This window comes from Homo sapiens, chromosome 2, assembly GCF_000001405.40.
Source record: "Homo sapiens chromosome 2, GRCh38.p14 Primary Assembly".
Lineage (NCBI taxonomy): Eukaryota > Metazoa > Chordata > Mammalia > Primates > Hominidae > Homo > Homo sapiens.
The window spans coordinates 172,490,076-172,514,612 of record NC_000002.12 but is presented as its reverse complement, the minus strand read 5'-3'; the positions used below and the strand labels follow the sequence as shown (position 1 = coordinate 172,514,612).

Here is a 24,537-nt window from a genome sequence, read left to right as displayed (position 1 = left end):
TGGGCCACCTGCAGAGCTGGAGAGCTAAGCAGACTGGTCCTGGAGTGGCAGCTGTGTTGCGCTTGCAAAAGCGCTGCTTTTTTCTGTGCCGCTTTTCGCCTGTGCCACTTCCTACCCCCGCTGCCCAGTGGCTGTTGCCCACTGGGCCGACTTTCCCACATGCGCCTCCTGCCTCTCTCTAACAGGCTAACTTCCAAGCACTGGGCCTGGCTGTTTGTTGCCGCTGCCTCCGTGTGGACAGAGTTCCTGGGAGCACTTGCTGGCTTTGGTTTCCCGAACTTCCTCTCTGCCAAGTCTCTCCTTCTGCTTACTGCTCGCTTGGCCGCCTGGCTTTGGCCTCTAATGCTTTTTTTTAACAACTCTTTAGGTACCTGATTGCCTTGCTGATTTTGCATTATTGGGCAGGCTAAGAGCTCCCCTTTTAATGCTGCCTGCTTAAGACAGGGTTTCATAGCTGTAGTGTATCTCTTGTTTTGTTTTTTTTTTCTTATCTATTGGAGGAGGTGGCTCAGGCACAACTTCTGTTTCCTCTTTGTTATTTTGGCCCAGTAATATCAGGGCTGAGGGAAGAGGAGGCGATAAGATAGGTGACGGTTCCTCCTCCTTCCCCTTTTTAGGCTCTTCTGTGTATAACGGAACTAGGGCTGCTCTAATTAAAGCCCATAGCATTAAAAGCTGTTACTGGGACACATTGCCCTTGTGCATAACGTTGTTTAATATTTCTCCCCACTTGTTCCCAGACCTCTACATCTAGCGGTCCTTCTTCTGGGAACCATGGATTAAGTGAGACAACAGTTTGCATTGGGTCTCTTAATTGAGCCTGCAAAACTGATGCTCCCCTAGCCTTAAGTAACTGTTTCAACACTTTTATGTACTGTCTTTGTTGAACTGATAACTATTGTCCCATGATGAAATCTCAGCCTGAACAATCCCCCACCCCCCCAAACTTGGTAATCCCAAGCAGGCACCAATGACTCACTGTTTTACTGACTTGACCGCCAGTCCTCTCCACCTTCATTTCTGGGGGTCTGTCGCGCTCCCTTCACAGCGATCCCCACACAGGGCACCAGCTGCGGAGTCTGTCCCACAGACCCTGACCCAACAACGGATGAATAAAGTACACTGACACACAGATATGCTGCTTTGCCAGTCCAGCTGAGTGTCCAGGCTGCTTACAGACTACAAGCAGAGTGCTGTAAACAGTTGTGACTGCGGCCTTGATCAGTCAGTGAGACTTGCATTTATTCAGTAAAGGTTAATTGACAAAGGTCGTGAGTAAACACCACTAGAGGGTAGTTGACATTGTGGACCTCCTGAGTAGAAATCAGTTAAGCACCCACAGTAAATCAAAGGTTAGTCTTAGGACCACATGAGTAAACAAGCTAGTTAGATAAACTCCGCACATTCCTTTGTTTCTACTTTAATTTACTTAACTAAGGGGACAAGGCTGCCTTCAGCCAAGTTTATTACTGGAGCTTATGCATCTCCCCCAGGCCTTCCAAGAAGGTTTGCGTCTTATAATTTTCCCCACCATCCTGACTGAATCCCCAGAGGCATGCATTAAACTCTTTCTCTATTGCAATCCCCTGTCTTGATAAATTGGCTCTATCTGGGCAGTAGGCAAGGAGAACCTATTGGTTGGTTACAAAGTTTATAAATTTGGAAAGGAGAGCTTTATTTTTCATAAAAGTTTGCAGCTGGCAGGGTGACCATTCTGACACTGGGAAGGATAGCCTCTGGCCAGGAGCTAGAAACAGATACTTTGAGGGAGGGGCAAAGGGAACAGGAGTCTATGCTGAACAGAGTGGCCAGCAATAGGAATCATGAATATTTACAAAAGGAGAAATGTGCATATATGCAATGGGGCTTCATGCCCCTTCATGAGTCACATGTACACTAGCCAGAGCCACTCTGTGGTCAGTGGTCTCTTATTAGGAAGAAATGCTGGTCAATTGTTGTGTCAAAACCCCAAAAGGGAGATGCAGCATCCCTTAAATTCAGGTTTTCAAAATTACTCTGGGGTCCCTGTGGCAAAGAGGGGGTCCATTTATTTGGTTGGGGGGCTTAGGATTTCATTTTTATTTTTCAAAATAGGGTTGAAGGCAAATACTTGAAGTTGCAATCGAAGGTCAAGAAAATGGAATCAAGAGGTCACAATCCTTCTCTGATGATGGCTTAGAAAGCTGGAAGACACTCAACATTGAATCCTGGGGCTCTGTGCCATGCTTGCTAGGAGAAACAGCCACCATGAGTCCATCTTTCAGATCTCAAGTGAACAGGTATGCAAGTCATAGAATTAAATTTATTTCAGCCGTGTGCGGTGGCTCACTCTTGTAATCCCAGCACTTTGGGAGGCTGAAGCAGGCAGATCACTTGAGGTCAGGAGTTTCAGACCAGTTTGGCCAACATGCTGAAACCCCCATCTCTACTAAAAATATAAAGGTAGCTGTGCATGGTGGTGGGTGCCTGTAATTGCAGCTACTTGCTACTTGGGAGGCTGAGGTGAGAGAATCACTTGAACTCAGGAGGTGGAGGTTGCAGTGAGCCAAGATTGCACCACTACACTCCAGCCTGGGCTATGGAGTGAGACCCTGTCTCTAAATAAATAAATAAAAATAAAAAATTCATATGTACAACCCTAGCTGCAAGGGAGTCTGGGAAGGTATTTTTAGCACCTCAGCCCTTCCAACTAGAAAAAGTATGGAATAGAGCAAGCCAGTCCACAGATATGTATCACAGTGGCTTAGGAGTTTTATTAATTTATGTGTGTGTGTTTTCTGGCATGAGTACTTGGGTTGTTCGTGGTAGGCACAGGCAAAGAAACACTGAGTTGCTGCTTGAGAAAGGAAATGTCAAGTTGCAAAAGCTTCTCTTTAAGTCATCCTGAACCTGTTCAATGTGTTTGTTTCATTACTGATTTAGATAAGTCTTTATAACCAGATCAACATGTCACTGCTTCTGTGGGTCAGCTACTAGAACTGGCACATTGTTTCCCATTCCGTTGTAATGCTATTCACTGTCATGGGATTTTCCTTCTCACGGGGCAGGAATCTTAAAAGCATGGCCTGTAAGAGTAGCCTACAACAAATGTCAGCTATCCTGTCAAGACGGTGAAAGCTATATATTTAGATAAACAGACTTAACTGCACCCCAGTCAGTCCTTATCCACACATTTGAGGATGTTAGGGGTTTGGAAGTTGTGTAGAAAGACATAAGACAGTGTAAGCCTAGGTTATAATCTTATTCCTTATACCATTATACCTTATGCCATTTTACAGGTGAAGGAATTAAGGCATCAGGCATTTAAACTTGCCCAGGTCATACAGTAAAAAGTGACACAATAGGGACTTGAATAAAGACTGGCTCTAGAGACCCTTGACACCCAAAGAGTAATCCATAGATCAGTAGTATTGCAACACCTGGAGGTTGTTAGAAATGTAGACTCTCAGGCTGTTTCCTAGACTGTTTAAATCAGAACCTGAATCAACAAGATCCTCAGGTGAGTCTTAGGCATGTTAAATTTTGAGAAAGACTGCTCTTAACTTCTCTAATTGAGACTTCCTGACCACCAGTGGCTTCCTCAGGTAAGAACCCCAGAACTTCAGTTCCATCAGCAATTTGAGGACACCTTGGCATCAGGCAGTCCCCCAATCTTCCTATGGAAGAATGCATGTATATGTATGTTTTTTGCCTTTACATAGTCTTTCAGTCCATGCATTATTGTGACATGTGGGAGGCAGGAGTTTTCAAATTTGTTCTTCCAGTGACAAACTCCGTTCTAACACACATGGTGTAACTCAGGTGCAAGATGAGCTCTGTGAGCATTTCCTCTTCTGCACAGCAGTAAAGGTAATAAGCAGTAAAACTGTGGCTTGCCTTCCCACTAAAGGAAACCAAAGAAATCGATGGTGTGTAAAGAACTCTGAGAAAAGGTTCAAAAAGAGAATCTGCTCTTTTCACACTCTTCCATGTCAGCGGGGAGAAAAACACAAAGATTCAATACCTAGCGATTTCAAGATGCTTTGTTGATTATCTTAACATGTCATCTTTCTGACCCCAACCGAAGACTGCATTATGGTCACTGTATTAAGGGTTGAGACAGAATTTAACATAGAAATAAGGTCACTCTTGTCGTTGTTCAGAATGATCTATGTTGATAAGGACTTTAAGAGGTTCATCGTATTTTTTTTTTGTAGTTATAACACCCACTAGTAAGACTTAAGTTGGTAGACACTGAAGAATGAGGAGACAAAAGGTTCCCGTGACAATAAAAATAAACCGTGTCTCCCCATCTGTGAAACGAGGAAGTAGAACTAGATTTCCATGCTTCCTTCCCTTTTTAAGATTTATGGTTCTATATAATAAACAAGGGTAAGTATAAAAGTAACTAGTAAGCACTTCCAGATGGTCCAATTTTCTCTTTACAAGAACCTCTGGGCTGGGTATGGTGGCTCACACCTGTAATCCCAGCACTTTGGCATGCCGAAGCAGGGGTGGATCATCTGAGGTCAGGAATTCAACACCAGCCTGGCCAACATGGCGAAACCCCGTCTCTACTAAAAATACAAAAAATTAGCCATGCATGGTGGCGGGCGCCTATAATCCCAGCTGCTTGGGAGGCTGATACAGGAGAATTGCTTGAACCCAGAAGGCAGAGGTTGCACTGAGCCAAGATCGTGCCATTGCACTCCAGCCTGGGCAGCAAGAGTAAAACTCCGTCTCGATGGAGCCAGACTCCATCTCAAAAAAAAAAAAAAAAAAAAAAAAAAAGAACCTCTGAGTGAGCACTTATCTTACAGGCCAAGAAACTGGGCACAGAGATATCCGTAACTCACCCAAGGTTATGTTCTAAGAGGAGAAGCTAATTCACACCTGCAGCGTGGCTCCAGAGACATGCCCTTATGCACCGCTCAGCTGCCTCCCTGCCTATAGCAAATGCACCTCTAGCTTCTCAGCTCCTGTTACTGGTGCAGTGGAAGTACCACAAACAGGAACGAGGCATTCCACACAGTGAGCATATTATTTTGATAAATATTCACAACATCCAATAATCTCTAAAGTAGTTCTCAATCCTGGCTGCACTTTACGAGTCAGCTGGGGAGCTTTAAGCAGCGCTAATTTCTGGGTCTCACTCAGATTCTCATGTAGTCAGTGTGGCAGATTGTCCAGCCATCGGGATTTTAATAAATGTATTTCTTTGGTGATTTAAATGTGTAGACCTGCTTAAGAATGACTCTAAATTTTCTGGGAATGGGGTTGTTCTGGGGGCAAGTTCTGCCCACAAAGGTTCAGGTATTGACTTTATTTTTTTTTTTGAGACAGAGTTTTGCTTTTGTTGCCCAGGCTGGACTGCAGTGGCGCAGTCTTGGCTCACTGCAACCTCTGCCTCCCAGTTCAAGCGATTCTCCTGCCTCAGCGTCCCAAGTAGCTGGGATTATAGCCATGTGCCACCACCACACCCGGCTCATTTTTTGTATTTAGTAGAAACGGGGTTTCACCATGTCAGTCAGGCTAGTCTCGAACTCCTGACCTTATGTGATCTGCCTGCCTCGGCCTCCCAAAGTCCTGGGATTACAGGCGTGAACCTCCACGCCTGGCCAGGTATTGAATTTATGTGTCAATCATTGATATCTTAGGGTTTTAAATTCTGCTACCTATAAAAAGTGAATTCACTTATGCTTGTCAATACCATCTGTAGTTTCAGATAAGCTTCCTATAAAAGGTCAGAGCCAGTGTCTTACGTATATCCCCAGAGCCTAACATCCCTAAACATCTGTTTACTTCCAACTGGAAAATAATTATTAAATCACATCCCTCTCACAATGACAGGATCTTAACAGAACACTCACTTAAATCCACTTACTGATTGTTGGTGAACTGAAAACTTAAATTGCTAGGCTTTGAGATAACAACGGTAGCACATTCTGACACTGTAATTTCTTGAGATTTTTGGCACGTTTTAGAAGGCTGAAGAGTAAGAAATTTATCTGACCTCTCCTAGCAGGGAACTGTTTCCATGACCCCAGCACAGGCAGCATAACTGAGAGATGCCTCCAGGGCAAGAGAAGATTGAGGCACTTATGCTTTGCTGACTGCTACAAAAATTGCACTTGACCACTTGACTCCCTCAACTCTGGTGTAATCATCAACTATTACCTGGTTAGTTTTGCCCTTTGTGGTGCCTGGTCCACCCTTGCACTGGGCCACACCAGTTTCCTTCCTCTGGTTTGTGTTTTACAGTTCATTTACCCTGAGTCAAGAGGATTTGGCTATGAATCCCCTCATGATTTTCCTCCTAGATGAGGTCTATTGGTAGCACCTCCACAGACCTGGTCTCAGCTCCTAGTGTACAGCTCTCCCACCTTCCAACAGCTGGATGAGATGCCTTTTGGAGCTGGCAAAACCTGTTTAAGGTACAGGAGAGAAAAAGAACTTGCTATTAACCGTAATCAGAAACTACGGGAAGAACAGATGCCCACTAGCATGCAATAGCCACTCTTGAAATCATTCTGAAGTTCATTTTCTTCACCTCTTTGACCCTCACCTTTTCCTCATTCCAAGTGGTTGGACCCTGTCCTTTGGTCTTAAGGAACTGCTTTTAATCACTTACTTTATGCTCCCCAAATTGATCCAACAACTCTTCCACATTTCTGTTTTCTCAGCCCTGTGGATGTACTTATGTGGAACCCAACCACTGACAGCGTCTCTTTCCCTCCTTGAAAACAAGTCTCTCAATCCCGGCTTGTCTTCCCACATTGTCCTTTTGTGGGATAGTGTACTGGAGACCAGTTTCTCATTAAGATGTTTTCATTTAGAGTAGAAGGCTTGATCTTATCCTTACTTCCCTGATTTGGACAATTTTTGAGACAGGATCTCACTCTGTTGCCCAGGCCAGAGTGCAGTGGCATGATCATAGCTCACTGCAGCCTCAAACTCCTAGGCTCAAGCAATCTTCCCACCACAGCCTCCCGAGTAGCAAGGACTACAGGTGCACACCACCACACCTGGCTAATTTTTAAATTTTTTGTAGAGATTGGGTCTTGCCATGTTGCCCAAGCTGATCTCAACTTGTGGTCTCAAGGATCCTCAGCCTCCCAGAGTGCTGGGATTACAGGCATGAGCCACCATGGCTGGCAGTCTGGACAATCTTTAAAGCATTCCCCACCTATATCAACACCACATGCTAGAATATTCTCAGCCACAAGGGAAAAGCGTAAACCATGACTATGCACGACACACTGAATTTGCAGCAACTAATTTACAACCAATAATGAAGTATCAATGTTTGCAGTGATTCCTCTGTGAATCCAAATAGATCCAAGGATAACCCTGTAATAATTCCACAATCGCTGGTAGACGTTCCTGTAATTTTTGAGAGGGAGGGGAAGTGTTGGAATCACAGGCACTATGACTGGATGGGCCATGACTTACTTACAGTCTGTGTTATTTATGCCATAGCCCTAGTCAAACCACAGCTACTGATAGGCTCTATGAGGTTATGACGATTACATATTATTGTAGTGATTTAATCTGGGTATATCTGATATGTGAACTGAGGCTAAAAAGGTTCACAGCCACTGGCCCAAATCATTAAGTGCCAATCAATCACATATTTCTTTGGGTGGTAACACCTGTTTGATCTTCAAAGAACCAAGAAGGCCAAGATTTTATGTAATGCCAAGTATAGTGGAGAGCTATTACCTAATATATTAGACAGACATTTATTCAGGCCAGGGCACACTATATTGTCTAGGCATTTTATATATATATATGTGTGTGTGTGTGTGTGTGTGTGTGTGTATATACGTATATATGTATATATATATTTATATATATTTATATATTTATATTTATATATATTTATATATTTATATATTTTATTTTCTTGTATTAGGTTGTGATAATCCAGCTAGAGAAGTTTCATAAAACTCAAATCTAAAATCTTTCTTTTGCTGAAGAAAATATTTTCTGACTAGTTGATTCTGCCACACACGTCACAGCTAGCCTGCTCCCACATCCAAAACATATTCTAAGAAGGAAGCAGCTTAGCTGTCAGAATTTTTTTTAATGCCAGGTTATCATTGCTAAGCAATTCCCTATCCTTACAAGGACAGGCAGTGAAGAGGAGGATTCAGTCCAAAGACAACTCCCAATTTGTAGGTTGTTAAATACCTGTAGGTTTCTTTTAATCATAAAGAAGGAAAATGAAAGACTTGAGGATCACCTACATAGAGCGAAAACAGAAAAAAACCCCGAATCCCATTGCTTTGGCACTAGTATCTTTGGCTGATCTGAGATTACATGAGACACCAAAAATAAAAACACTGAACTTTGGTTTGATGAAATAGATAATTCAGGTTGTCATTTATAATTTTAGAGTTTGCTTCACATATACAATGCTGTGTTACGAAACAATGAACACTTTTATAAAAAATTTATTTCACACTTTTATACAAATATCCACAGGTAATTTCTAATCATGAAATAATTTTACAATGCTAGTTAGTACAAAAATGTATCAAATGCAAACAGACCAGTGACTTGACTTGAGATGACATTTTTAACAACCATAAATCTAAACACCATAACATCTTTGTTTCTTTGTTGAACCACCCTCCCAACACCCTTTTCAGGACATTCATCTTTTTTTTAGTAACACAGGTCTAAAAACACTGTCAAAGTATCAGCTCCTTAGCAATCTAGCAATCTAAACACATTAGGGACACAAGTTCCCCAAGCAAGAAACTGAGACTTTAAACACTGTTATAACCTGTTTTACAGAAATTTTTGTAAACAAAATATATTTTGTGACTAAGAATTCCAAAGTACAACCAAAACAACGTCCTTAGTATCTTAAGGTTTAAGATTTCCGAAAAGAAAAAAGCCCCCCCAAAACAACAGTGGCACTACAAACTGTGTTCTATTCTTTCAAAACACAGACACTGCTTATACTATATCCAAAACAAATTAGCACCTGTTTGCTGTTGCTCCCCATATAACTTAACATTGTGAAGCATGGTAATTAAAAAAAATCAGCTTTCATATCTATTCAGTCTCTGTTGAATGTATAGAGTAATAATTCCACCCCCTGCCATTTTTACAATTAAAACACAATTTAAAGTTCTTGTTAAATTAGCCCCAAAGTAATTTTTGGGAATACAGATAGGGGAGGAAACAAAACAAAAAATAGAACATCGACTCACTGATTAACTGTTTTGGTAGCAGATTCAGTAGTCTTATACTGGATCAGTTTGGATCCACCATAGGCATTCACCATTTCTTTCAAGTCCTGAATATACAGTATTTGCAGCAGTGAGTAAACCGCACTAGAGTTCAGTGAATAAACCCATTTTCTCCAAGAATTCCTGAATGTTACAGTATGAAATCCAGAAACATTATGCAGGCTTCTAAAGTAAAAAATATCCAATGCCTGAAATAAACATCTTTACAGTTATAATTCTATTTCTTAAACCTTTTGGGTTGTGGGGTGGAGGCTGTCATGAAGGAGAGGTTATAGTTTATAGATAAGTTATTAAAACAACTCTCTCTGGTACATTTATAAAGATTTTCTTTTTGCAGTAAATAATTTAGGTCAAAGTGATGACCTCCCATGCTCTAATTCTGATTGATTAAACCAACCTGAAGGGTAAACTGGAGACTCTTTGGCCTGTTAGTCAATAACAAAATGGTTTGTAAAGAAAAGAAAAAATAAATACCATATACAAATAAGTATAACTAGCATTCAAGTCTGTTGCACCTGTGTGTTTTAGTGAAAGGGAGAATGAAACTTGTATGCATTTGACGTGAGCAGGTATTCACACAGCTAGGAAACAGGAAAAGACGGTAGGATGGCAACATCACCTTCTATTGCACATTTAGTTTAAGACAGCACTTTCCGTTGAAACACAACTACCCCAATGGCATAGTCTTGTGATGTGGGACAGCTAACGTGATGGACGTCTGCGCAGCAGGCCCGAGGTTAGGACGGCCACTCTGTTAGTGCAGGTGAGTGTAGGTGCCTCCTCAGCTACACTATCTGGAGGATGTCACCTGAGTGCAACTGGGCAGGCCCTTCCCCAACACATGATGTAAGTCAGCCACGCCAAAAATAAAGGCAACCCAGAAAGTTAAATTACGGCAGTTAAAGAAAAATCCATTCCAACAGTTTTAAATTTGGCTGTGCAAAACAGGAGCCTTAGGCTACGTAACAATATCCACAGTTAAAACTGTAGGTTCGTACTGTGTGTAGTCACTCTGAAATCAGTCCTCAGGGATTGAGCAGGCTTTTAAATCCAAATTGAATTTCTGAGTTGGAAAAAGCAGTTTGGGTACTGTGAAGCTTTTTTTTTTTAGGCCCCCGCTATGAGTAGCTTTCATTTTCGTTCCACTTTGTGATCCACTGTTTTTTTTCAAGGTTATCAATATACTTTTCATCTTTGATCTCTCGCTCTTCTTTCCGGATCCTTACAGCATGGTATCGGGGAACACTGTCATCGTACCTAGAGCGTTTAAAGAATCCACACTAGAGAAGAGGGAAAGAGAAAGAGAAACAAATTAATCTCACAAAGAAGCAAATACACTAAATGGGAATGTCTAAGCTTTCTGTTCAGCTATGTCTACCTCTGGACTAAGGGGAAAAAGACATGGTTTTCTTTTAAGAAAGAACCAAGAGGCTGAAATGAAAGAAGAGCCAGTGGGGATCAACGGAAGAGAACAGCTGTAAAACTGGAAGAAAAGTCCATTTTCATCTTCTCTTTACATTTTATAACAAATGTAGGCTACCTCTTTACTAACAATTTAAGAGTTTATGAAAACAGTGCTTCCATATTTAAAAATAATCACAATATGATATGTAAAATATCTGATTATCAGATTAGATTAAGAATAATTTTTAAATGGCATAAACCAAAGATTATTTCATGCCCCTTTCCCACTAATAAAATGCAAATCATGTCACAAGTATTTTACAAATTACTATTTGAATATGCCAGTGTTCCAACAGGTCAACTTTATAATCTTTTTCTCTCCTCTGAGGCTCTAGTACACATATCACTTCTCTCATTAGCCAGGAGGTCATTTATGTTGCCTGGATTTGCTATTGTGCTTCTAATTAAGCTATTTCATTAATCACATAGTAACTGTTTCCTGCAATAAAAATCATGTGCTGCATAGGACTTCAGAAGTGCATCACTACACTGAATTTCAGAGCACTCCCTAATTTCTCTTCTTTTGCAAAAATACATTTACCTTTAAACTGTTAATGTGTGTGTTTATATATATATATAAAATTCATTTAAATAGTCAATCTGATCCAAAGTATATTTTTACTGAGAATATATCTGAAAAAATTTGAATTGAGATTAAATTTTTAAATGAAATATATTTACTTTTTTTAAAAAAAGGTGTTTTCAACTTTAAAATGCAGTTTAGAAGAATGAGGATATTGATAGAACTGTTAATGTGTTTATTGTGTGACGTCAATAGTAACAGGACATTTATGTTGAATGATGTTATGTTATAAAAATGCCATGGAGCAAGATAAAATTATATGTATAGTTATCACTAAATCAATAGGCAAAATGGACCAAGATGTTTTGTTCCAGGTCATTTCTACATGGATTCATTTATTATTCTGTGCAAAAAAAAAGAAAAAAAAGCCAAAGTACCTATCTATTACAAAATATGACTGCTGTCTACCCCATTTAAACAAAGAGGGAAATTAAGGGTAATATGTAAAGCTGAATGGCAATGTTGTGATTCACTGTGATAGTGCCATGGAAAGGATTACAGGAGTAATTCTGTCCTCTCATGCCCACGTAAATGGTGAAAGGGATCACTAGCAATTCCTATTTCCATGTATTTCCAAATAAGAGAAACTTGAATTTAAAATCAACTGAGATCCAAGGTTGGATAAAATCTCTGGATACATGAAATATGGTCAAACTCCATCACAACATATTGCAATAAAAACTGTTCAGGGTATTTTTTGTACTAGAATTTTGTAGATGGAAGGTAACTTTGGTAAGGGATCATCTTCTGAAGTTGGCCATAAAAGCCCATCATGCTGATAATCAGTTTGTTGTAATGGTCTTTGACCTGTAGGAGACATGCAGGAAATGGAAGTTGCATGCTTAGCTAGCATAAAACGATTCCTGAGCAACAGTAAAAAGCATTCCAAGCCTTCCCCATCACTTTATAGCAAAGAGAACAAAAAGATGACAGTGAGGAAGCCTCACCAAGAGAAACACAACATTTCCAACATGCAACAGGTTAATTAGGCGGTCGACACAGCTTCTATCTGTGGAAAATTCCAAAATGGACAAGAAATCTAGAATGATTTCTTATGCATCTTTGAATTCCCTAGTGGAATGCTACATACCGAATTAATAACACATTGCAAACTGGGCTACTATGGAGGGCTAAAAGTCTCTTTTTGTGTGTACAAATATTGCAAATTTTCTTCATTGCTGTGGTAGATATTTAACAAGAACATAAAATAACTCACCTGCAACGAAAGACTGTGCATTAAAAAAAACAAAAACTGAGCTTTCAAGTGAAATAAAATAAAACAAATCCAAGCAAGGCAAGCCAGTGTGGACATTTGGAAACATCTGTTAATGGGACACACATAGCAAGCTGTTGTTCTTAAAGTTAGCCACCACAACCATAGCGGGTCCCACAGCTAGCAATTAAAAAACATTGATCAATTACCAATTACAGAAGTAGATCAATACTATGCATCAGAAGTAAGCCTCTCTTTATCAGATGGCTGAGCATGGATCTCAGCCTTGTGATATGTGGCATCATAATGATCTTTCTTATTTCTCTTGAAGAAACCACACTACAAGGAAGCAAGGTATTTAGTCAATTTTACAGTTTTGTGTATAAGAGCCAAACAACAGAACATCTCAAATTTTAATCTGCCTTCTACTAGTGGCTTGTTTACAAACAGACCACTTTCAGTCAACCAACAATGAACAGCCACTGCATTGTTTCATTGTCATATTCAATACACCCTTCACCATACATCTCTGGTCAAATATTTATATGGATGACACTAGTCAGCTCATTGATTTTTCTCTTTGTAACAGAAATCTTGTGGACAAAAATCATTCTAATAGGGAAAACGTATATACATTGCTGATTGTAGCTTTGGGTAGTTTCTTCCTGCAGGAGAATATGAACTCCAAAAGAGGCAAAAGATTGACTTCGGCAGTTTATTGAGACAAAGGTTAGAAAATAAATTCTCTAAATAAAAGCACAAATCCAAATAAAATATAGATATACTATGGGTATTTTTCTGCCTTTTACAGTAAATTTTATGGAACAAATGCCATTTACTTGAGGCCTTTGGATCTGTGGGGTGAATCACAATACAAATTCGAATACACCATCATGAAAGAATGATTGCTGTCATTTTCCCAAACTCTGAGCACCATAAAACCCTTAAATGGTAGGGACCCAATGCTCCTCAGGTTAGGTCACTCTAAATGAGTATAAAAGTATAATTCCACTTTCTACTATAATTTCCTTCGTTCAGTGATAGAGAACTTTTCCTATTTACTTTTATCTAGTTCATAAGGCCATGGAACTGTCTTTTATAAAATTTAACCTGGTCAAATAAAATCTCCTGAAAAACTCTGATTCCTAGTCCAGCAACTCATGAAGGTAAAAGCCTAGATTCACTTTGTACAATATATGGGAGCTGCTGGCTCCGTGAGGCTATTCAGATTGAAATTAATTTAAATTACATTTAAAACTCTGTGCCTCAAGTGAACCAGCCATATTCCACGTGCCTAACCGCCACACATGACTAATGGCTACCATACTGGATGCTGCAGCTCCAGAACATTTCCATCAGTATAGAGTTTTGTTGGGCAGCTTTCAATAATATGTGCTAGTAAATAGGGTGGGAAGAAGAATAAACCAGGAGCCAAGAGGCCTGGTCCTGCCTCCAACTTGGCAACATTCTTTCCTTTTTTTGAGACAGAGTCTCACTCTGTTGCCCAGGCTGGAGTGCAGTGGCACGATCTTGGCTCACTGCAAGCTCCACCTCCCAGGTTCACACCATTCTCCTGCCTCAGCCTCCCTAGTAGCTGGGACTACAGGTGCCCGCCACCATGCCCAGCTAATTTTTTGTATATTTAGTAGACGCGGGGTTTCACCGTGTTAGCCAGGATGGTCTCCATCTCCTGACGTCGTGATCCACCTGCCACAAAGTGCTGTAATCCACCAGCCTCCCAAAGTGCTGGGATTACAGGCAGGAGCCACCGCGCCCAGCCAGCAACATTCTTAATATCCCTGGTCATGAGCATCTTTGTTAGCAAAATGAAGGTGATTTAGACCAGCCCAAGGGACTTTTTTTTTTTTCACCTGCAAACAAAATCCTGTACAGAATCCTGATATTTAAAATGGATACAATCTGAACTACTGTGGTTGAAGTAGGGATCTTCATCCTGCCTAGTTTAGCTTTGCCCTCTACATGGATATACAAAATCCAATTTAAGGGCCATTGAACTGTAGTTCTGACCCTAAAATCCTATGACTTTAACATATTAAATAATTCAGTTGAATAAAAGTATAAAGTAATAAAAATGCTTCTCATGTGGGGTTGTATAAGTCGTATTTTAGAGTCCCCTTGACAGCCTGGACACTTCAGAGCTTCAAAAAAACAAAAACAAAACAAAAACTCCCAAAATAATGAAATCATCTAATAATCCAATCAACTTATTTAACAGACGAGGCAAACAGAGGCCCCAGGGAGATGGAATGATTTGACCAAGATTATATACAGCTTAGGTTTCTAACTTTAAATCCACTGCTGTCTCACCCTCATTAAAGGCTGCCAATGCTCTGAAAAAGACCATCCTTATGACCTCTTCCAGAAAACACAACATCATCCTCAAATATCAAACCCCAACTTTAGTTTTTGATATCAAAATAATTTTCAAGGCCGGGTGCAATGGCTCACATCTGTAATTACAACAATTTGGAAGGCCAAGGCAGGAGGATTGCTTGAGCCCAGGAGTTGAAGACCAGTCTGGGCAACACAGCAAGGCCTCACCTTTATGAAAAAAAATTTAAAAACTAGCTAGATGTGGTGGCACGTAGTCCCAGCTACTCAGGAGGCCGAGGTGGGAGGATTGCTTGAGCCCAGGAGGTCAAGGCTGCAGTGAGCCATGATCACACCACTGCAATCCAGCCTGGGTGACAGAGCGAGAGACCCAGTCTCAAAAAAAATTTTTTTTTCTTCAAGGCATCTCCTTGAAAAAATGTTTTATATTGACTGGCTGTGTGTGCCAGAGGAACCTACTGCCCGAGGTAAACATTAGAGGTAAAACTGGCTAAAACTCCATACCAGGAGGAGTTTTGTCATGAGCTTCAATCCCATGTCTAGAAGACATCAGAAAATTATCTCAAATTTGCAAAAGTCAGTCAAAAAAAATAAAGCAAAAACAGATGCTCAATATTTGCAAGTAAGACTATCTTGAACCCTTATGTATTATATTTTTGGATCCAATGAAAAGAAAAGGATAGTCTGATCCTAGGGGGTTGATGGTTCATACAGAACCCTCCAGACCGGACATGTTTGAGAATCCAAAATTTTTGTCCTTTAAAATGAGTAATGCACTGCATACCTAATGCTACTATAATCAAAATGTTAGTATTTCTGCAGTGAAATTAATCATAAAGGATAAAGACTTCGAAGTAGCCTCTCTTCACATCACGTCAGGTTTTATTGCCAAATAAGTCATTATATATACTTCAAGGTTTCAGAGCTTTTTGGAATGGCAGATAAGGGACTGTAAGCCTCTATCACTCACTGGGAATAATCTAAAATTTTTAGGTTGTAATCTTTGGGCAATAAGAGTTTGTATCCATCTCATACGCAGTTTTTCATAATGTAGACTCTTTACTGGTAGAATCAGGGGAAGATATTACATTTTATTTACAGTCAAAGGGCCAAATTCTAATGAGGAACATCATATTGAACCTAGACCTTCCTTATGTTTGATACACGCTATAGTGACCCCCTTGAGATAGAGTTATTCATTCATGTCATACTCTTCTATTCCAAATCTAGCTGTAAGCATAACCAACACCAATGGCTGCTATGAACATTCTTCACAGAAACTGAAATTAGCAGGGATACACATTCAGATTATTACTACACCCTAACAATTTGGCTTAGATCCAGACTTATATCTTAGGTGAAGAAAATGCTAAAGTAATAAAATCTAAATTTGTTATTTGCTAAACATGCTAAATTATGTGTGAGAGACAAATGAAGAAACTTATTGTGTACAAATAATATACTTTAAATACAAAATATTCGGTAAATATACAGGTGTTCATGGTAAAATTTTCCTCAAATTTGCTATGTCAAAAGAGTTTCATAATGTTAGAAAAAAGGAAGCAATGAAAAAGAAAACGTACTATCAGTGCTGATTCCCATTTTTTAAAACATGAAATAAAGTTTGTTATGAAATTCAAATGCCAGATATGACTTACCTTCCATAGTATAAACACTAATAAAGCAAGCATCAAGATCCCAGCGAGAATAGCCACTAGGATGATCCACCAAGGTACTCCCGAATACTGAGCTACAGTCTTTGAGGGAAACACAGTCACTCGAACCTACAGGGCAGAAAAGAAAGCAGCATTACTACATACAGCGGCAAGAGTTCACACCAGGAGTTTATGGTTCTAATTCTGCTTTTGAATATATTTTGGACAATGCAGCCTGTGAATGGATGAGATGACTTTCTGATGCAAGATCCTTTCTCTTAACAGAATATTGCTTCAAGAGACATTCCTTGAAGATCTTTCCCCAGAATCTTGAAAATGCTGGGTTGTATTCTGACAAAGTGGTTACTTCTTTGTTAATGTATCTTAAAAAAAATTTGTTATCAACACAAGTAAACTGTATAATGAACCCTTAAGTATTCATCATCCTGTTCCAGCAATTATCAATATACAGCCAGTCTGTGTATCTAAACAAATTGCTCTCAAAAAGATACCCAGTTAAATAGATCTAACAGCCAGTCTGTTCTATCTATCTAACCTGGTATCTTTTTGAGAACAATCATACTTTTTTTTTTTTTTTTTTGGAGACAGGGTCTCACTCTGTTGCCCAGGTTGGAGTGCAAGTGGTGTGACCATGGGTCACTGCAGCCTCAACCTCCCAGGCTCAAGTGATCCTCCCACCTCAGCTGCCTCCCAAGTAGCTGGGACTACAGGCGCATGCCACCACTCACAGCTAATTTTTTTAAAAATTTTTTTGTTGAGACAGGGTCTATGTTGTTCACAAAGTGCTGGCTTCAGGTGATCCTCCTGCTTTGACCTCCCAAAGTGTGGGTATCATAAGTATGAGCCACCTCACCTGGCCTATACTTTCTTTTAATTAATATTCAGCAATGGAAAGAAAAGGGCCAGTTTAGGCAAAAGTAGCCAACATTCCTCATTCAGACTTTAAAGATGTTGTGAAATACAAAAATAGGGATAGGGCTGCATGACTGATGGACACCATTTTACCTTTTTCTTAGGATATCACACTAAAGACCCTCATAAACAATAACATTTCCTGAAATGGCTTGGTGCCATCTTCTACAAAAAGGTATATGAACAAACTAGACCCTGGACCCACTCAGAGGCAGCTTAGCGCTTAAGTTGCTCCTGCTGCTGAGAAGCTTAAACTCTAAACATAGGATAGTTTGCAAATATCAATTAAATAGAAATGGTGTTTACTCAGAAACCTAAAAAGCTGCTTCTGGCAATTCCAACAACTCAGTTACATGGGTTTAGAATGCAAATGAACTTTTGTGATACCAGGAACTATTTTTCAAAGCATGCTAAAGACCTGGTGATTATTGTGAACATGATTTTGTAAACTACACTGATTAGAGATCCACTGGTTTGAAGTTTCTGATATTTCTGAGTTAAGAGAATGTAAAGTAAAGGGAAACAAAACTCAGGGGGAGCATTTAACTTCTGAGAAGTGTTTTCAGTCAAATATTCTATGTCCATATTGAACCCTGGATGCTGCTATGTCTACACTGTGCTTCAATACTTCTATGCGGTGGTGTTTTTCTTTAAAAAAATCTCTCATCAAAGTACTTCCCTTTCCACTTCTAGGAAACAGTTTCTCAACCTCACCTGACTTACAAAAAATACTTAAAAGCAGCAAAACTGCTTTTCTTTAAACATTCAATAGACAGCAATCACATCTTGAGATTTAGCCAATTATACTGATGGTAACAGGCAGGCATAAAACACCTTTATCAGCCACCATGTTTCCTGTTATGCTCTAAATGAGGTTTTCTACAAGCTCTGAGCCCCAAGGTGGCCTCGTGGCTCACTTCCCCTCTCCTTCCCTCCCCTGACAGGGAAGAGATTACTGCGTTCAGCACAGGGACATCTACAAAGAAGGGAAGAAGAAACAGGGACAGACCAGTGAAGCAATAGAATAGTTACGTGGTTGGTAAGCTGACTACAATGAAACAAACCAAATAGATGATTTCAATTAGCCTAAACTGTATCTTGTTTAACTTTGTTGCCCTATTATCTAACACAAGGAAGGTGTACAGTGTATCCTCAGGGCAAGATGGTCATGTGGAAGGGCCATCCTCATTTGTAAGAAAAAGTTCCAGTAAATCTGGAAGTGGAGAGTGGAAACTGGTCTTCGGCAAGGAGAATCAGCTTTATTATAATGACACTGTGCACAAGTGTCTTTAAAACAGCTGACAGTAGGGGAAAGCCACCCCCATAAATGGTTGGGATCCAATATTGTTAACAACTGAGCAAAGTAATTTTTGATTTTGCAGCCTGGAGTGGCAGGGTGGATGGGAATCCAGCTGAAGCTCTAAGCCCCAGGCCTGGCACCATTCAAACCAGAACTTCCACATATTGTTAACTCACTGGGCATCAAAGACTGAGAACCAAAGTCAGGGACTGGGTTGGCTACACATTTAAAGGGCAGATGTGCTCCGTGGTTCTGGAGGGCGAGAGGCCAGTCAGGAAGACTTTATTGGTTGTTTGCTTAAACTGTCAACTGAAGGTGTTTTTGTTTTTTTTGTTTTTGTTTCTGGTATGACAGTCATTCTCCAGCTGGGATTGAGAACAAGGGGAAGCTGGCCATAGAGCCAGGTGACCAAAGATGGAAGACAAAGGGTGGGCTGTGATTCCCAGAGCTCCAAGCCTTGTTCTGTCTTGTCACACCAACTGTTACTGATGAACAGGTGAGTAGAAACTACTGTAGAGCTTTACAACTCCAAAAATAATTTCTTACCTTTGGTTTCATTACAATGTAGTTATTTCCATGGGGATGACGCACACCTGTGAAACTCATCCACCATGTGCCCATAAGGGGAAGAGGGATATAAGCTCTGTTGATGCATTAAATTCGATTACCAGTGAGCAGTGCTGAGACTACATTAGCTTGTCAACTGCCAAAATACCTTCTCTAAATTACCCTGTAATGTACCACCCACTGTTCTCATTGAACTTCATTCAGTACAGGAAGTCACCCAATGAAGGGATTTTCGTATCTTTTACAAAATTATCTATTAAGGACATCATCCACTCTTGGTGTTTATCATATAACAGGCCATCTTATAAAAGGATCCGTATCTTAAGTTGTTCTCTGAATTTTAAGTTGTTCTCTGAATTTAGAGCCAAAAGGGAAAATCTTATTCCCCTGAAGAATTATGCATTTTTTTGGTCATTTTAAAAAAAATTTTGACAGCCAGGAAGCTTGGATACTCTCTACTTGCTTCCTTAGGGATAAATGGGGACAATATAAATACAACCAATAAACAATCCCCCTCAATTTCCCTGGCTAATTTGACAGTGTTTTCCTGGTTCTGTCTCCTACAGCATGACATTCTTAACAGTTGACACTGTATCTTACCCAACTTTGCATCTCTAACATTTAGCACAGGGAAGGCATACATGTGTCTTTCATGGGTGTTTATTAACAAGATGGATTTAATTTAACTGATGCTAAAATATAGCATGGCTTACCTGGCTCAATCATGTGACTTCTGCTCTCCCTGACTTCATTATAATAGTATCCTAATTTAGAAGTGTTTTTTATTGTTTGTTTTGAGACAGGGCCTCACTCTGTTGTCCTGGCTGGAGTGTAGTGGCACACTCTTGGCTCACTGCAGCCTCGACTTCCTGAGCTGAGGTGATCCTCTCAGCTCAGCCTCCCAGGTAGCTGGGAATACAGGCATGTGCCACCCCACCTGGCTAATTTCTGTATTTTTTTGTAGAGATGGGGTTTTGCTATGTTACCCAGGCTGGTCTCTAACTCCTGGGCTCAAGCAATCCGCCTGCCTTGGCCTCCCAAAGTTTAACTGTGTTTTATTAAAAGATGAACACAAAACTCTTGAAATTCGTGGGGTTATAAAGAAACAAAAAAGTTTTTTTGCTTTTTTAAGCCAAATTAAGCTTAGATCTTCAAGCCCAGAAAAACTACAGCTCAAACTACTCAAGAAATGTGCAGATATGACATCTGAGCTATTGTATGTCAGAAATCACAGAAAACAGAAAAGGTGTCAGAAGACTAGAGGTTAAGAAAATGTCTCAATTTTCAAAAGACATGGGTTCTAGATATGAGACCAGTAACCCATTCACAAATCTACCAATTTGTGAAGACATCAATTCCCACTGGGAGGCATGAGTTCTCCAAGCTCTAAGAACATAAAATGCCCAAGAGAACCTCACTTTCATTTGTGACCCAGTCATCAGACTGGACACCAGGGCCCCCAGAGTTCCATCATCTTCCAGAAGAAGACAGCACTTGAAGAGGAGACATCAGACCCAAGGTCTGGTCTCAGCTCTACTTGCTGGTCGGGTGACCCTGACGGGGAGATACCTTTCCTTGGATTCAGTTTTCTTATCTCAATTTGAGATTTGGGGACTTTAAGGGGACCAAGTGCCACAGAGTCAAAGAACAGAAGCCCTGAAGTCAGACAATTACAGGTTTCAATTGAGGGTCTCAAATTATATCCCCTCTCTGAGTCTGCTTCCTTGTTTGTAAAATGAGTACAATGTTTACCCTTGGCATTCTTCTGAAGTTTGAATGATAGAGTATAAAGTATCTAGTAAGCTGCAGACATTTTATTAAGGCTTCATTAATGTTAGTCCCTTCCCTCTAAAGTGTTCTCTGTCTAGCTCTGAAATCTCAGTGATTTTCAGAGTTGCTGATTTACAGTTATAGAAAGCTATACCTGCTGCCTTTATAGATGCAGAGAAAGGATCCTTAGGGAAGGTGTGGTTTATTTGAAAGTCCCTTATGATGCCTGTTGATATGTCCTGGAGAGACCGGGACAGTGCTGGTTGATACCACTTATCGCAGCAGCTTGCCCAGTACAGCATTTGTCTCAGGCAAATGTATCCTGGGGCTGGGTGCAGTGGCTCACACCTATAATCCCAGCATTTTGGGAGGCTGAGGCAGGCGGATTGCTTGAGTCCAGGAGTTAAAGACCAGCCTGGGCAACATGGTGAGACTCTGGCTATACAAAAAAAACTGAAAAATTAGCTGGGCGTGGTGGCATGCCTGTGGTCCCAGCTACTCAGGAGGTGAGACAGGAGGATTGCTTGAGCCCAGGCATTCAAGGCTGCAGTGAGCTGTGTTTGCGCCACTGCACTCCAGCCTGGGTAACAGAGCAAGACTCCATCTCAAAAAACTAAATAAAAACAAAAATGTATTCTTGCTTGGATAATAAATCGTAAGGACTGCTATATTTCAGAAAACAGAATGATTAGGGAGGCTCCCTGAATTTTCAGCTAGCTAAATGACTGAAGCCAGAACATTTCCATAAGTAGACTGGCAGATTAACTTAAGAACAGTAATTCACAGTATTTCTTTCTCCAGTCTCTTTTGCAAAACATTCCCATTCATTATTCCCACCATGACATGCAGTCATTCTGCCTCGAGATCTTTATACAAGTCCCTGTGGGTTCTAGACTCCCACAGGGAACCCCTCACTATTGGTTCACTACAAGGTTCTACACCTAGTCCTATTCAACATATTTGTCATTACCTGGATGAAGACATAGAGAACATGCTTCTCAGTTTTTAAAACTTTCAGGGATAGAAAGTTGAGAAAGCAAATGATGAAGCAAGATTCAGAATTACTTTGCAAACTGAAACAATGGACCCAAAGCAAATCACATAAAATGTAAGGATACACTTAAAGGCATACATTTAGATTTTTACAAATAGCTCAAGGACAGGATACTGGAAACACAGCTTGACAACAAATTCTGATGAAAACACCTGGAAGTTTCAGTAGAACACTAACACAAAAATAGCAGCTGCTAGAAATTCAAACATGCTGCTCAGCAATGGTTTGAAAAAGCAAATTTTAGGCAGGTCTGACAGAAGTGTGGTGCCGAGATGCTGAGAGGTAAAGGCCCCAGGGTAAGTGGGACCAAGCAGACCCCACCTCAGCTGCTCTGTCCACGTGGGAATCAAATTGCCCAGGAAGGGAGAGGCCAGGAGCCAGTTCAGCTGTGCCCAATGTGACGCATAACTCAAGAGCTGGGTGCATAAGCTCTGAGAAGAATAAGAAACATCCAAGGAGGCATGACCATTTCCTTCAATTATTTGAGAGGCTGCTACATGGCCAAGAGAGAGAACTTATTTTAGACTTGTTTGAGGGGCATAACCAGGGACTTACAAGGTTCAGTTCAGGAGTCAGCTATGAAGAGATCTTTTTTAATAATTACAGCTGGCCAAGGGATGGGCCATCACTGGGGCATTACACCAATGGCTGCAGCATTAGAGATGGTAGAAGACACAGGTTTCTAGAGGGCTGTGAGGTGCACCCATTCTCTGAATTGAGCCAGTAGTTCTCAAACCTACCATGGGCACTGCTGAACTGGATGACCCTAGATTTACTTCTTTTTTTCAATGATTCTATTAAAATACAGCTTGCAGTGCCAGTACCTTAAGACAGTTTTCTCCGTAATGGGGCTATGAGGGAAATGAGCACCAAAGCACATGACTTCAGGACATGAGTGTGGGGTACAGGGAAAAGAGACATGTTCTGAACCTGAATGAAGCTGGGGAACCTCTCACCTGAGTGCCTGCATTTGGCAGCCTGATATTTTCGGCAGCAGCAGTCACATCAATGAAGGCTCGCATGAGAATGTCCAAGTAGTTCAGTTTGGAATATTCCTGTTTGGAGACAGTGAATGCATTAGGGAAGTGAAAAGTGTCCTAGGCAAAGGCAAATTACTTCCATGGGACAGCCTCAAGCCAAGGTCATACCTCTAGAAATGTGCTGTTCCATAACCTCGAGCGCAAAATAAGAGACGCCTTGCTGTCCAGCCCCCGCAGCGGGCATCTGATGTTCACACAGTTCACGTTCACGCTACAGTTCTAGAGAGAAAAAGAAGAATGGTCATCAAAAGACATTGTTCTGAAGAAATCCTTCCCCTCATCCTCTCAAATATTCACAGCTCTTGAAAAATACTTACAAGAGTCTGGTATTTTCTTTCAGCAAATAAAGAAAATTTTCTGTTATCATCTATCTGTTTTTCAGTAATTTCCCGTTTCTTTCTTGAGTTGTGAGACTCCTGAAAAAAATTATATCCAAAATAGTTCCAATTTATGTAATTCTTTGTCATTACCATACAAGCCTCTTGAGCATATCCTCCCAAACAGTGCCAGATTCACATAATCAACAATATTTGCCTCTCTCCTGCCAAAGGCACAGAAGTAAGTGTAAAACCAGCAAGTATTATCACTCTAAATTCAAGTTTATTGATTTACTCATAGGACTAAGTAATTCATTCCCACTCTGACCTTAAAACTCAGAGAAAGAGAAATATGCTTTCTTTGTTCCTCTGTATCCCCACCAAACTGTGGGCATACTGAGATCAGAGATCAAATCTTATTCCTGTATCCCTAGCCTCCAGCTCTGTTCCTAAAACATGGTAGTCAGCACATCTTGAAGGAATAAGTGACACTGAAGAACAGAGAAAGAAGCAAAAAGACCCATTATATAGCTCATTCAGAGCAGAGCAATGAAAACTAAGCCATACAAGAACTTTTAAAATTGCATTTTCCTTATAGCAAAGATTAGTAATAACCGATTATCTTGATTTTTAACATTGATGAGTAGAAGATCATGCTATAAGCCACCAACTCTGATCACTGATCATACCCAGTCACCTTAGAATTTAAAATAAAAGAAATAAACATGCAAACCTTCATCAAACTGGAACACAAATGATAGGCCAGTTATCTAAGCATGGAGCAGTATAGAGAGAGGGGTTAACAGTACAGGCTTTGACATCAGGCAGAGCAGGGCTTGTATGTGGAATCTGTCTCTTAACGCCTGAGTGACTGAGAGAGTTACTTGCTCTCTGAATCTTAATGTCCTCATCTGTGAAATGGTGAGGATAATGAAACGCCCTCATAGGACCATCCAGAGAATGAAATGAGAAAATGAAAACAAAATGCTTAGCATAGTTCCTGAGACACAATGAGTACACAATAAATAATTACTATTTTAAAAATAA

General features: G+C 40.4%; 1 protein-coding gene and 1 long non-coding RNA gene across 33 annotated transcripts in view, besides 1 other annotated feature; one reads left to right on the top strand and one right to left on the bottom strand.

Moving 5' to 3' along the window:
• Nucleotides 1–24,537, top strand: part of PDK1-AS1 (PDK1 and ITGA6 antisense RNA 1) — a 92,199-nt gene that overhangs the window by 41,852 nt on the left and 25,810 nt on the right. For 6 of the 23 annotated variants that reach the window (NR_199652.1, NR_199656.1, NR_199655.1 and 3 more), the window contains exons 2-3: nt 2,095–2,279; nt 19,097–19,238. This is a non-coding gene — a long non-coding RNA (PDK1 and ITGA6 antisense RNA 1). Of the gene's footprint in view, nt 1–2,094; nt 2,280–10,470; nt 11,306–18,386; nt 18,482–19,096; nt 23,544–24,537 lie in introns of those variants that run through there. The other 17 variants (NR_199651.1, NR_199654.1, NR_199653.1 and 14 more) reach the window with 13 other exon arrangements.
• ITGA6 (integrin subunit alpha 6) overlaps nt 8,154–24,537 on the bottom strand; it is a 79,124-nt gene continuing 62,740 nt past the window's right edge. For 5 of the 10 annotated variants that reach the window (XM_017004005.2, XM_017004006.2, NM_001394928.1 and 2 more), the window contains 5 exons: nt 23,491–23,589; nt 23,282–23,392; nt 23,090–23,188; nt 16,513–16,638; nt 8,154–10,522 (listed from right to left, as the gene is read on the bottom strand). In XM_017004005.2, coding sequence (XP_016859494.1) covers nt 10,361–10,522; nt 16,513–16,638; nt 23,090–23,188; nt 23,282–23,392; nt 23,491–23,589 — 597 coding nt within the window. In that variant the 3' untranslated portion in view covers nt 8,154–10,360. Of the gene's footprint in view, nt 10,523–12,711; nt 12,842–16,512; nt 16,639–23,089; nt 23,189–23,281; nt 23,393–23,490; nt 23,590–24,537 lie in introns of those variants that run through there. The other 5 variants (NM_001316306.2, NM_000210.4, NM_001365530.2 and 2 more) reach the window with 2 other exon arrangements.
• Nucleotides 12,297–12,466: an enhancer, noted in NCBI's record as "experimental_56072 CRE fragment used in MPRA reporter constructs". NCBI's record gives its function as "activates a minimal promoter by MPRAs in K562 erythroleukemia cells, with activity observed for both the introgressed and non-introgressed 2:173366960 variant alleles {active_cell/tissue: K562}" and the evidence as "EXISTENCE:reporter gene assay evidence [ECO:0000049][PMID:34662402]".